The 12,123-nt window shown below is 47.3% G+C and overlaps 1 annotated feature.

Annotated features, from left to right (window-relative positions):
* Positions 7,516-8,016: an enhancer, noted in NCBI's record as "H3K4me1 hESC enhancer chr5:3627638-3628138 (GRCh37/hg19 assembly coordinates)". NCBI's record gives its function as "activates a minimal SCP1, AML or CMV promoter by ChIP-STARR-seq in primed H9 embryonic stem cells {active_cell/tissue: H9 hESC(primed)}" and the evidence as "EXISTENCE:reporter gene assay evidence [ECO:0000049][PMID:30033119]".

Below are 12,123 nucleotides of genomic sequence, written 5' to 3' on the forward strand. Positions count from 1 at the left end.
GAAGGAAAGGAGATAACGAAGCTCATGTGTGATCATTTGTACCTGTCTAATCACTGCCATCAAAGAGGGCAAGAGTGTCCACCTACTGCCAGTTTTCTGAAAGCCAGAGGAAGTGTCAGTGGATAAAGGAACTTAAGCCTCGGAGGCCATTTCTCCATGGCACAGACTCTCAGCTCAGTCCAGAAGAGACAGAGGAAAGAGGCCCTGCACCCAGCACCCCCTCCAGCCTCTGGTGATCCGCCAGCCATCTGTGAACCCAGGCACACCAGAGAGGCCTCCCGCTGCACCAAGTCCACCACAGCCTGCCTGCTACAGGTCACGAGGCAGGCTTTCTGAAGCACAGGACTGGAACAGCTGCCCACCGTGTTGGAAGGTGAAAGCTGCCTTTCCAAGTCTTCCCTCCTTCTCAAGGCTCTCTGGGGTCAACTCCTTTGCTCACATTTTCTTTTCAATCAAAGTTTTGCCTAATTTACCACTGAGGAGTTCACAAGAACTGATGTCCTTTGGAATTGGTTGAGAGAAAGCACTGGCTCAATGCTGTATATCGAAGCAGGACCAATTTCTGCTTTGTCCTGGGGCTGTGCAGAGACACCAGGGGGGCCCCTGGCTTCAGGGGGCTCACAGCGAGGGCGGCAGGAAAGCCACGGTGGGAGGGCAGGTGGCCAGGCCACGTGGCCCCATGAGAATGAAGTGGGACAAGAGCTTAAGCTGGGGTGGTGGCTTCCAGGTGACAGAGTAAGGGAAGGGAGGCCAGCTTGACAACAGTTTGTCTTGGGTCTAAATTGCACAGCCTGTATCTTAGGGGACATTTCTGGAGGAGCCTCAATAGTTTCCTAGCAAACAATAATTTGGACTTGGGGTGGGCCTCTGTCATTGATAGTGACCATGAATTTTTTTGCACACACGTTGGTGATAAATTGCTTTCCCCTCCGCTCTCTCCGTTAGTGGAGTGGTTTTCTCCCTGCCCTGAGGACATTTCCAAATATCTGGAGACATCGATGGGTGTTGACAGTGAGTGCGGCTGGCATTTAGTGGATAGAGTCCGGGGACACTGCTTTGCATCTTGTAATGCATGGGACACCCTCCCCTTTCTGCAGCAGAGAATTATCCAGCCCCAATGTCAGCAGAGCCAGAGCAGAGAAGCTGGGTAGCGCCGCATGTGCATGCTCCTTCCTTCATGGCTGTGGATGGAGAAAGGCCAGGGTTCCAGCCCCAGGCCCAGCATGCATGCGACAGCATCTTCTTCAGGTCACAGTGTCTCTAGGCCTCTGTCTTCCTATCTGCAGAGTGGACATAGAGGACCTCTTGCCTTTCTTCAAGAAGTGTCATAGGGAGGGGACATGCAATCCCAGGGCTGAGCACAATTTTCCTCTAGGCACAGGAGGAGTGGGGATCAGATGAGTTGCAACTCTGGGGGTCATGCATCAGCGGAGGCCTGTGAGTGAACTCCGTTTTACTGAAGAGCAGATCCTGACATTGTGCCAGTGCCTGAGGCTGGAAGGCTGGAAGGCTGAAAGGCAGAGCTGAGGACTCCAGCCGCTCCAATGGGCATCTTTCCACCACTGTTATCTCCCTCTTTTGTTAATTCCCCAGTACTTCTTTTTTCTCATGAAGTGTCATATTCATATCTAGAGATCACTCATCCAAATTTTATTTTAACCTTTGATATTATAATTTGATAATCAATTTAATCAGGACACTCTCAGATGCAAGACCTGGCCCTGTTTTCCTCTACACACTCACTGTGTGACCTTGGTTACCATCACATCTGGGCCTCAGTTTACCCATCTGGGAGCCAGTGCTCTCTTTCTGGTTCAACAGAGTGTTGTTTGGACTTCTGAATGGGCTGACTGTCCTGTGCTTGTGTTTCTGGTGAAAGATACTGAGCTGGGAGAAAGACACCACTCCTGCTGCAGCTTACACAAGACATTCACCTCAAGTAAAGGAAGCTTAATATCTGAATGCTCCCAGATGGCCAGATGTCAGCAGTCAAAAAGAATAGGAACCTTACATTTGAATTTCATGAATTAGGTCTTCTGATCAGTGGCCCACACTCAGTGTCTCCAGCGGGCATAGCCAAGGGGTCCTTGCAGCCCCTCTGTAGAGAGCATGTTGGCCACCATATGCATCTCAATGTGAATTAAAACCAGCTCTGGTTTGTAAAAGGGTAAACTGTCAGGCATCTGAGGACAATCCCTTTGAGTTTTTATATCACTTGAAGAATATTTAGGAAGAAGAAAATCAAAGAGTTGGGAGTACAGACAGAGTGAGTTAGGCAGCAAGGGTGACACCTCAATGCACAGGGGCCAATGCTATGTTTTCTCCCCTAGTTCAGGAGGTAGCTGCACAGGAAGACTTCACCTACACCTACCAGGATCATCCCAGTGCCTAGGAAGAGGGGCTGGCACTCAGAGCTCAGAAGCCTGGCCGGCTCATGCTGACCAGCTCTTCGGGCCTGGTGATTGCCATTCACTTCTGTTTAGTTATTGCCATGGTCAGGAACTTTGCATAACATCATCTGTGTTTCTGAAAAGGCAGAGGCAGATAGAATTCCTTTCCCTCCTTAGAAAGCCAGCTGGAAAGGCCTTCTTTTCCCTAAACTGTTACAACATACAGGGATAAAATCTCATTTCACACCTGGGCTGATGGTCCTAGGACCTACCCTTGCTTTCTGAAATGGAAAGCACTACATTGCAATGACTGAAAGGTGAGAAAGATGTCTACAATCAACAGCCAATCAGAAAAGGAAGCAAGAAAGGACAAATTCAGTCCAAAACATTCAGAAAACAAGCAAGCTCACCTTTCCACGAGGTGCTGTAGGAGGAAGCTTTCCCATGAACCAGCTGTGGTGTGTCTGGGGTCAAGGGAACGGCAGTCCAGGCACCTCTGTGTGCTTCAGGAAGCTCACCGGTACCCCCTTTATTTGCAATCAGGACCCGGAATACATGGGCTCCTTGGTTATGGGAATATGTTCATCTGCACTTGGACTTCATGGCATCTACAGAGTTAGATGATCCCACGGTGCACCCTCAAGCATGCGGTTCAGGGAAATGAGCCCACGGGAGCAGGCTCTGGTGAGCACCGCCGGCACTTCTGAAATGGAAAGGTGCCAGGTATTGTTTCTCACACACCCAGGTGAAGCAATCTCAGGCCCACGTCATGGAAAAGGTGCAATCTTCTCCATCTATGTGTGCACAGTGCCACGGACCATGGATTGAGCCACTAGTTATGAATCTTATGTGCTGGCTAGACAAAACTCACTGCACCCGCTGGGCCTTCTTCACAATAGACCAAACGGTGGGCTCCTTGAGAAATACTCTATTTTTTATGTTTTCATTTCAGTAAAAAATACTGAATTTGAGAGATTGCTTTAAAAACAAACTGACTAAATGATTCTTTAATAGGACAGATTGGCAATCATGACCAGGTAGGTAATAGGATTGAGCTGAAATGCTCAACTTTCCAGAGGGAAAGGAGACCCCGAGAAACTTTCCAGAGGGAAAGGAGACCCCGAGATACTTTCCAGAGGGAAAAGAGCCCCTGAGATCCCTTCTGTGGCATCTGTGGTCGTAAGAGTCCACAAAATTCGAGCTTCATCCCTCCAAACCTGGGGAAGCCGATAGGGCCTGAAAGGCCAGCTGTGTTATCTCAAAGTGACTGACTTCTTTAGATCCATTGAGAGAAACAGGTCTCCCGAACATCCCTGAAGGATTCCAGCTTTGAGGCTGCCTCCAGACCTCAGCTTCCACTCTGGCTCTGCTTGTATGGCATTGCCCCAGGAAAATGGCACTAATTTTGATTTTCAACCCAAGAGTAGTCCCAAGGAATTTCTTATCTCTGTGTGTGTGTGTGTATACATATATATACATATATATGTATATTTTTTAAAAAAAAGGAAGTGAGGGAAGAATAAGAATTACAAGAAAACGTAAGGAGAGAAGAAAAGAGTATGAAATAATTCTCGGGTTTCAGGGGAAGATCTGCCATCATCAAGTTATTTATGAAAGTGAAACATGAAAACCAACCTAAAAGTCTCAGAGGAGAGAATTCCTTAAATGGATTTTGATCCAAGCACTCAAAGGAAAAATATGCAGGCATTAAAAAGCAAATTTCCCCAAAATTTAACAATGTGAACATGTTTATGTTGCATTGCTAAGTGACAAAATATGGAAACTGACTATATTTATGACTTGATCTTAATTCTGAAAACAATATATAGTTTTTTATGTATTACCATATCTCTATCCACATGAATACACTGAAACAAACCTAAAGAGAAGTTTACAAACATATTGTGTTTTTCCTATTAAATGGTGTGATAGTGCTGATTGGTGTTTCTTCTTTATACTTGAATGAGTTTTTGACATTACTAAATGAGACAGAAAAGCTTTGTAATAAAACAGTAATAGTTCAAATAGTTTCGGAATAATTTTTACTTCAAGTTATAAAATTAATTACACCAGTTTTTTGAGATCTGGGTTTATCCCAGAATGTCCTTTAAAATCAGATGTAATTCTTGTGTGTGTGCACATTTCAGCCAATGAAGGTAGACATAGAATGAACAGGCAGAGATCACTTATAGTAGCTCTTTCACACCACGTAGAGATGCATATTTGCAAACGGTGCTAGATGGATAGCAATCCTTATGAGATTGTGGAAAGTAAAAATAAAGAACTCCATATTCCAAGTGCCACTTAGCAATGAAAAGCCATCTCATATAAACACACTCAGCCCGTACAATGTGTGTCCTGACAGTCAACACCCTTGAACCCTCCAAATGCCTGTCTTGTGGGTGATGCACCATTTCAAACACCTTTACGTTCACCTATAGGAGACACAGTAACAATGGCCAGGTCCTTACTGTTCCCAAACCCCCGACTCTAGCCATCAGGCTCACAACTCAGATAAAGCCTCCCTGATGGCATTCCTGTTTGTAAAAAATAAACTTACAAAAATAAAAACTTTGGCTATTAACTGAATTTTTAAAACGATCTTTAGCAAAAGAATAAAAGGTTCAAAATCACTGGACAGTGAGAGAGCACTGTATTAATCCGTTTTCACACTGCTGATAAAGACATGCCCGAGACAGGGCAATTTACAAAAGAAAGAGGTTTAATTGGACCCACAGTTCACGTGGCTGGAGAGGCCTCCCGATCATGGCGGAGGGCAAGGAGGAGTAAGTCACGTCGTACGTGTATGACAGCAGGCAGAGAGAGAGCTTGTGCAGGGAAACTCCCGTTTTTAGCACCATCAGATCTCATGAGACTCATTCACTATCACAAGAACAGCATGGGAAAGACCGACCTCCATGAGTCAATCAGCTCCCACTGGGCTCCTCCCATGACACATGGGAATTGGGAATTGTGGGAGCTACAAGTCAAGTTGAGATTTGGGCGAGGACACAGCCAAACCATATCAAGCATCTTTCCTCTCCTGTCATAGAACAGGTGTCTGTTCACTTCACGCAGGAGCACCAGCATGCCTGTTAATAGCAGGAAAACCGTCATGATGGCTTGGTGACAGGACAGTCTGTCCTGGGGCTTTGCCATAAATGCACAGGGTAGAAACCACACCATTTCTAGTCACATTAGAAGGCCATACTTGAGGATAATTATAATTTCTGTTTTTCCAAATTTCATGTACTAATTTATAACGTTTATATCTCCCTCATGTAACTCATTCTGGAAGTCTATCATTGTAAGATTCTTCTAATTGTTAGCACTTGTGACTATTTTACACCTAGCAATAACACCAACACAATTAGCTGCATGGTACAATAGGAAATGCGTTGGTGTTGGGGGTGGGCCCCACAGTGAGTTGTGGTTTCTGAATCTAGTAAGCCAGGCAGTCTGGGGTAAGCCACTCAATCTCTCATGGAGTCAACGATTGAGTCAAAATCATAGATATCGTTGAGTAAGATGACTTCAAACTTGTTTTTCCTTTTCCAGAAGTATAAAACAGACTAACCTATAGCACAGAAACAAAAATATTTTCAGTGCACTTGTACATATATGTTCATATACGTGCAGATTTACAGGCAAGGAAAGACTTCAGAAAAATATGCTTGCGGGTACACGTGCAACACACTTTGTTTTGTTATTTTTTATCTTGTTTTCCTTTTTTTTGTTTGAAACAGGGTCTCGCTCTCTCACCCAGGCTGGAGTGCAGTGGTGTGATCATGAGCTCACTGCAGTCTCAACCTCCCAGGCTCAACTGACCCTTCCACCTCAGCCTCTCAAGTAGCTGGGACTACAGGTGTGCACCATCATGTCCAGCTAATTTTTGTATTTTTTGTGGAGATGGGTTTCGTCATGTTCCCCAGGCTGGTCTCCAACTCCTGGGCTCAAGTGATCTACCTGCCTTGGCTTCCCAAAGTGTTGGGATTAGAGGTGTGGGCCGCCATGCCTGGCCTTCCATTCTAATGTTACAGCTGGTTGTGACCAACTGAATTTATGCCATGATCTGTATCCTGGCAAACACCAATGCATATACTTTACAAGAAGGACTCTTACAATATGTACAATGAGATGAGAACAAGTTCTGAGCAGTGACCCCAGCCATCAGTGTGTCCTGTGCTACAGTAAGGAGATGCCAGTCTGGAATCTCTGAAATGCTGTCTGCATTCACCCTCCCACGAGGCCGTCCTCTAAGGCAGGAGTGTCCTGGCCTGGTGAACATCTCCATGCGGCTGCCAGAGTTCGGATGTGCCATCTTTCTCCAGGTGGGAGGAGACATGTGTCCCCTCAAGAACACATCAAGGTCACAGGAAGACTCATTAGTTCCAGGGACCATATGCCTGTGATCTCACCTTCAAGGAAGAGAGTCCTGACCTCTTTGTTTCTTAGATGCAAGAGAACCTTTCCCACAAGCCTCACAGCAGTTCTTTTCTTGGGTCCCAGTGACCCAGACTAGATCCCATTCCATGTTGAATTTGTCATGGAAGCCAGGGATGGTAGCATCTTACGTTAGATTCTGGGATGGTCCGAGGGCTTTGCCTACAGGAAGCGGTGAGTGTCACTGGAGCAGGGCTGGGTGGGGACAGCCAGAGAGGATGAGGGAGGCACTGACCACGGTGTCTGCTGACCGTCCCCTTCCATCTCTGAGATTTGATGAGGCTGGGTAAACATCTTCGGAATGCTCAACAAGGCTCAAACCTACTAGGCACCCACCTACACCTGGGAATCTAGCCGTCCTCCCTACAGACATATGCAGAGTAAGAAAGGACACACTTAGGACTCAGCTCCTCCTGGAACCTTCAAAACCATGGCCAGCTAGTGGTGGCATTGCTGAGACTGAAGGATGGTCCACTGTGTTAGTGCCTCCCGGATTCCCTCTCTTATCAATATAACCACTTTCCTCTTCCCCTCCCTCTCGAAGGCTGCAAGCTCCTCATGCCCAGCTGACCACCAGAGCCAGACAAGAGCCAGCCCATATTCCTGACCTGCTCCTGTTAATATCACAGCAGAGGAAGTGTCTCTGTGCTAAGTCAGGACCCTGCCTTCCTGCGGCGGGTCTTATGCCCTTCTATCCCCTAAGACTTGGCTTTGTTCTGTGCAGCCTTTCTTTTCTGCTTTCTCAGGTTTATTTATGTATTTCTCTCTCTGGGATCATTTTTACCCATTCTAGTATCTCTCCTCTAAAACAAACCAGCACAGCAACGCCCCTGTCATGATCCTGTGTCCCCTTTCAATGGACTCTTCATTAAAACTATCTCTGGAAAGTTATCCAGGCCCCCAAGGTCTCATCTCTCCACCTCTCCTCCACTCCCTTTCGGGTGCTGCACTCCTGGCCTGTCCGCCGGACCTGGACCTGCAGCCGCCATGCTCACCGAGACCTTCATTTCTGCAGATCCGACGGTGTGTGGCGCCTCTTCTCCTGACTCAGCTTCTCCATCGCATCTGGCACACTTGGCCTCTCTGGCCCCGTAGCGGGAAAGCATGATTTAGATGTGGCTTCTGGGCTTGCCTACACCCTAGCTGTCCTTCCCGCTCACTGGCCATCTACCTCCAGCTGCCTCTCCTGGCTCCTCCTGCCCTCTAATTCTGTAGGGTGCAAGGTTCACCTTCTCACCGCTCCTTACTCTCTCCCGGGTGACTCATCCCCTAGGTGACTCTGAGCAGCATCCACGTTCAGATGGCTCCAGAGCCAGACACTGGCCTTGCCAGCTGCCCTGTGCAGGGCTCCACGCAGGGCGTCCAAGGGCCCTCTAGGCCAAAGGTGTCCTGACCTCCACCACAAGCCTGTCCCACACCCCTCCTACTCTTCAAATGAACAGGACCTCTGCTTCCAGGTGCTCAGACTGAAGACCTGGGGCCATTCCTCATTCTTCTCCTCTCATTCCCTGGCCTGTCCATCAGCAAGTCCTGTGTGCGCCACCTCCGGGGTCTCTCTTGAATCCACCACTCCTGACCATTTCTGCAACCACTGCCCTGGCCCAACCCACCACCTTCTCTTACCTGGATAATTGGAAAAGCCACCGAACTTTTACTGGATGGGGAAGGCAGCCAGGGAAGGCTTTTAAAAGTGTAAACCATATCACTTTATTGCTGTGATTATGAGCTTCCGTTGACGGCTGCTTCTTGCCATAAAACAAAACAAAACAAAACACATAAACTTTTCACTGTGGTTTACAAAGAAGAGCATGAAGTATCCATTTCACAAATGGGAGAAAAATCAGCCCTTTACTGAAATTACCTGCTCAAGCCATGCTACAATCATATGAGTAATAACTGATTATTATTCATGGAATGTTTGTGTCTCCCCCCAAATTCCTCTGCTGAAATAATATAAGCGATGGTTTAGGAGGTAGCATCTTTGGGAGGTGACACGGCCATTAGGGTAGAGCCAGGTGAGACTGCGGCCTGAGGTGTGGTCCATGAACCAGCAAGCGGCCCTCACCAGACACTACCGGGGCCTGGACCTGAGAGCCGCCCCCAGCCTCCGGGAATGTGAGGAAATAAATGATTATTGTTGAAGCCACCCAGTTTATGGTAGTTTTGTGATAGGAGCCTGAATCAACGCTAATAGATTCTGAATGGGATCAGGGGAAGGCGTGAGTTCTGATTTGCACTGATTCAGCTGGTGCCTTCTTCACATTGAAAACTTTGCTTTTGCTATAGCTCTTGGTATGTATGTTTTGTTTATGCCAAGACCATAATGATAAACTGCAACAATTATCCACTTGTAGCTACAAAGACCTGCGTCCTGGGAAGAGCTACAAGCACCTGGCCTGCATCAGGACCGCAGTCTTAAGAGGTGGGCACTGTGACGATCCTGGCTTTACAGCTTTACAGGTGAGGAAACCGAGGTGAAGTTACAAGACGTGCCCAGGCCATGCGTTTGCAGAGGGTAAAGTTAAGCTCAACCTGTTCCCGGGAAGCAGATGCTGGGAAGGAGGTGAGCATGCAGGAAGCTCAGCAGGAGAGCTCCGTGCAGGAACGCCTGTGGGAGGAAGGGTGGAGGGCAGGCACCTTGCTGGGATGCAGTCTCCACGCGGGATGCCGCCAGCCTCACGGGAGCCTGGGCTGTGCTCGTGGGGCTGGTGAGGGGGCTTTGTTACCCACACACTAACCTGGGATTGGCTGTGGGCTGCCGCAGTGGATGTGTGATCTTGGGGGAGGCATTCTTAAACCAGGAGATTCCCAGAGAGGTTGAGGCTGTGCCGTCTGTGGGCAGAGCACCCAGTAATGCATGGAAAGTATCTTCAGTCCTCGGGGAGCATCTCTTCTGTGCTCACTGGCATCCACCCAGCGGCTCCAGGGCCTTCGGTCTTAACCCCTTTACTGACCACACAAATTCCTTCTAGGTCAGTCTCAGGAAAGGAAATGAGGGTCTGGAGCTTTGCGAAGCACAGAAGGCTCTGATGATGCAGGCTTCACTCGCGGGGCCAGAGTGGGCTTCCAGCACCCTGGGCTGCACCCGTCAGCTTGTATTCAGGCTGAGTACGGCGTCTGGTTAATTGAGCCATAACACTTCTTTTCCAGAACTGCCCGGTTGGCATTCACGCCTTCTTGCATTATTAACAGAAACAACTCGACTTTTTTTCCCCCAGGAATTGTAAGGACTTATAAGGGGAGTTGAAACGTATGATTGGGGAAAGCCCAGTAGCTGGAGGGAAATGAGTCCTTCTGCAGAGGAGATGCATGTGAGTTTCCCATAGACACGCCCAGGGCTGTTTCTGTCTGGCTTTCATGGTGAGTTATGTTATCTGGATGCTGGGAAGGAATGAAGATGGCACAGAGGTTAAAAGGAGTGAAAGGAAAAAATTGATTTTTCAATCGAAAATGTCATTGTTGCATTGATAACAGACTTCTTTAAGATTAGAAAGCTTCACATACTTGTGTCCACTACAGTCAACCAGAATTTGTTTAGTTTTTTTTCTAATGAAAAGCCCAGTATTAATAGCCAGCTAAACAAATAATATAAAATAGGGTCTTTGTAACTACAAATGGATAATTGTTGCAGTTTATCATTATGGTCTTGGCATAAACAAAACATACATACCAAGAGCTATAGCAAAAACAAGGTTTTCAATGTGAAGTACGCAGCAGATGAATCAGTGAAAATCGGAGCTCACATTTCCCTGCTGGTGAGGGCACCTTGGTCCTCAGAGGGGCGATGGGAGAACCTTTCCCTAGGTCTGCATGCCTTTTGCTCCTGTGAGGAGTTGGGTGGTCAGTCTCGGATTGAGCTGGTGGATAACAAGCACCATTTCTGAAATCTCTGTGCTGGGGCTGCGGGCAGAAGATTAGAGAATGTGTCTGGAAGCTGTGTCTCCAACCATGGCGAGAACTTGATTTTCATCCAGGGTGAGAACTTGATTTCTATCCATGGCGAGAACTTGATTTTTATCCATGGCGAGAACTTGATTTTCATCCATGGCGAGAACTTGATTTTTATCCATGGCAAGAACTTGATTTTCATCCAGGGCAAGAACTTGATTTTCATCCAGGGCGAGAACTTGATTTTTATCCATGGCGAGAACTTGATTTTCATCCAGGGCGAGAACTTGATTTTTATCCATGGCGAGAACTTGATTTTTATCCATGGCGAGAACTTGATTTTCATCCAGGGCGAGAACTTGATTTTCATCCAGGGCGAGAACTTGATTTTCATTTGGGATATTTTGGGGACGATGATATCAATTAGAAATCCTCAAGATTCCTTCCTTCACTCCTGGAGATGGGCCTGTCTAAGTTTCCAAGTTTGACTCATGCATGTGAGTGGGCATTCTGAGAGAGAGAGAGAGAGAGAGAGAGAGAGAGATGCCTGGAGTGGCATTACCCCTCCCTCCTCAGACTCAGTGCAGCAGCATTGACCATGGGGAGCCCAGAAGCCAGTGAGCCTTCTTCTGACTGAGGCTGAGTGGCCATCACTATGCTCTTCTCCTCAGATGCCTGTGCTGACCACCAGGTCGGGCTCACAGCCGCTTCTCATTCTCCCTTGTTCCAGCACCCATTTTTGTTCGGATAGTTTCTAAGATAGTATTACAAACATTTTCATCCAGAATACTTATATTTTCTCAACACAATAGGTGACTCTTAATTTTTTTTTCTATGAAATGTACACTAGCATTGCCAAGTGAAGTGTGGAGCCTTTCCTTTCCCTCTTTTTTCCCCTTCCCCTTTCATTTCCTTTCTCCTTTCCTTTCCTCTCTTGTCCGTTTGTTATCCACCAGCTCAATCTGAGGCTGACCACCCAACTCCTCACAGGGGCAAAAGGCCTGCAGACCTGGGGAAAGGTGCTCCCATCACCCCTCTGAGGATCCTCTCCTTTCCTCCCGTCTCCCTTCCTTCCTTCCCTTCTCCTTCCTTCCTTCCTTCCTCCCTCCCTCCCTGCCTCTCTCCCTCTCTCTCTTTCTCTTTCTCTCCTTCCTTCCTGCCTGCCTCTCTTTCTTTCTCTTTCTCTCTTTCTTTCTTTCTTTCTTTCTTTCTTTCTTTCTTTCTTTCTTTCTTTCTTTCTTTCTTTCTTTCTTTCTTTCTCTCTCGCTTTCTCTTTCTCTCTCTCTCTCTCTCTCTCTCTCCCTTTCTTTCTTACTTTCTTGGCAAGGTCTTGCTTTGTCACCCAGACTGGAGAGCAGTGGCATGAACACAGCTCACTCAACCTCCCTGGCTCAAGTAATCC

Source organism: Homo sapiens, chromosome 5 (genome assembly GCF_000001405.40).
Source record: "Homo sapiens chromosome 5, GRCh38.p14 Primary Assembly".
In the NCBI taxonomy this organism is placed as follows: domain Eukaryota; kingdom Metazoa; phylum Chordata; class Mammalia; order Primates; family Hominidae; genus Homo; species Homo sapiens.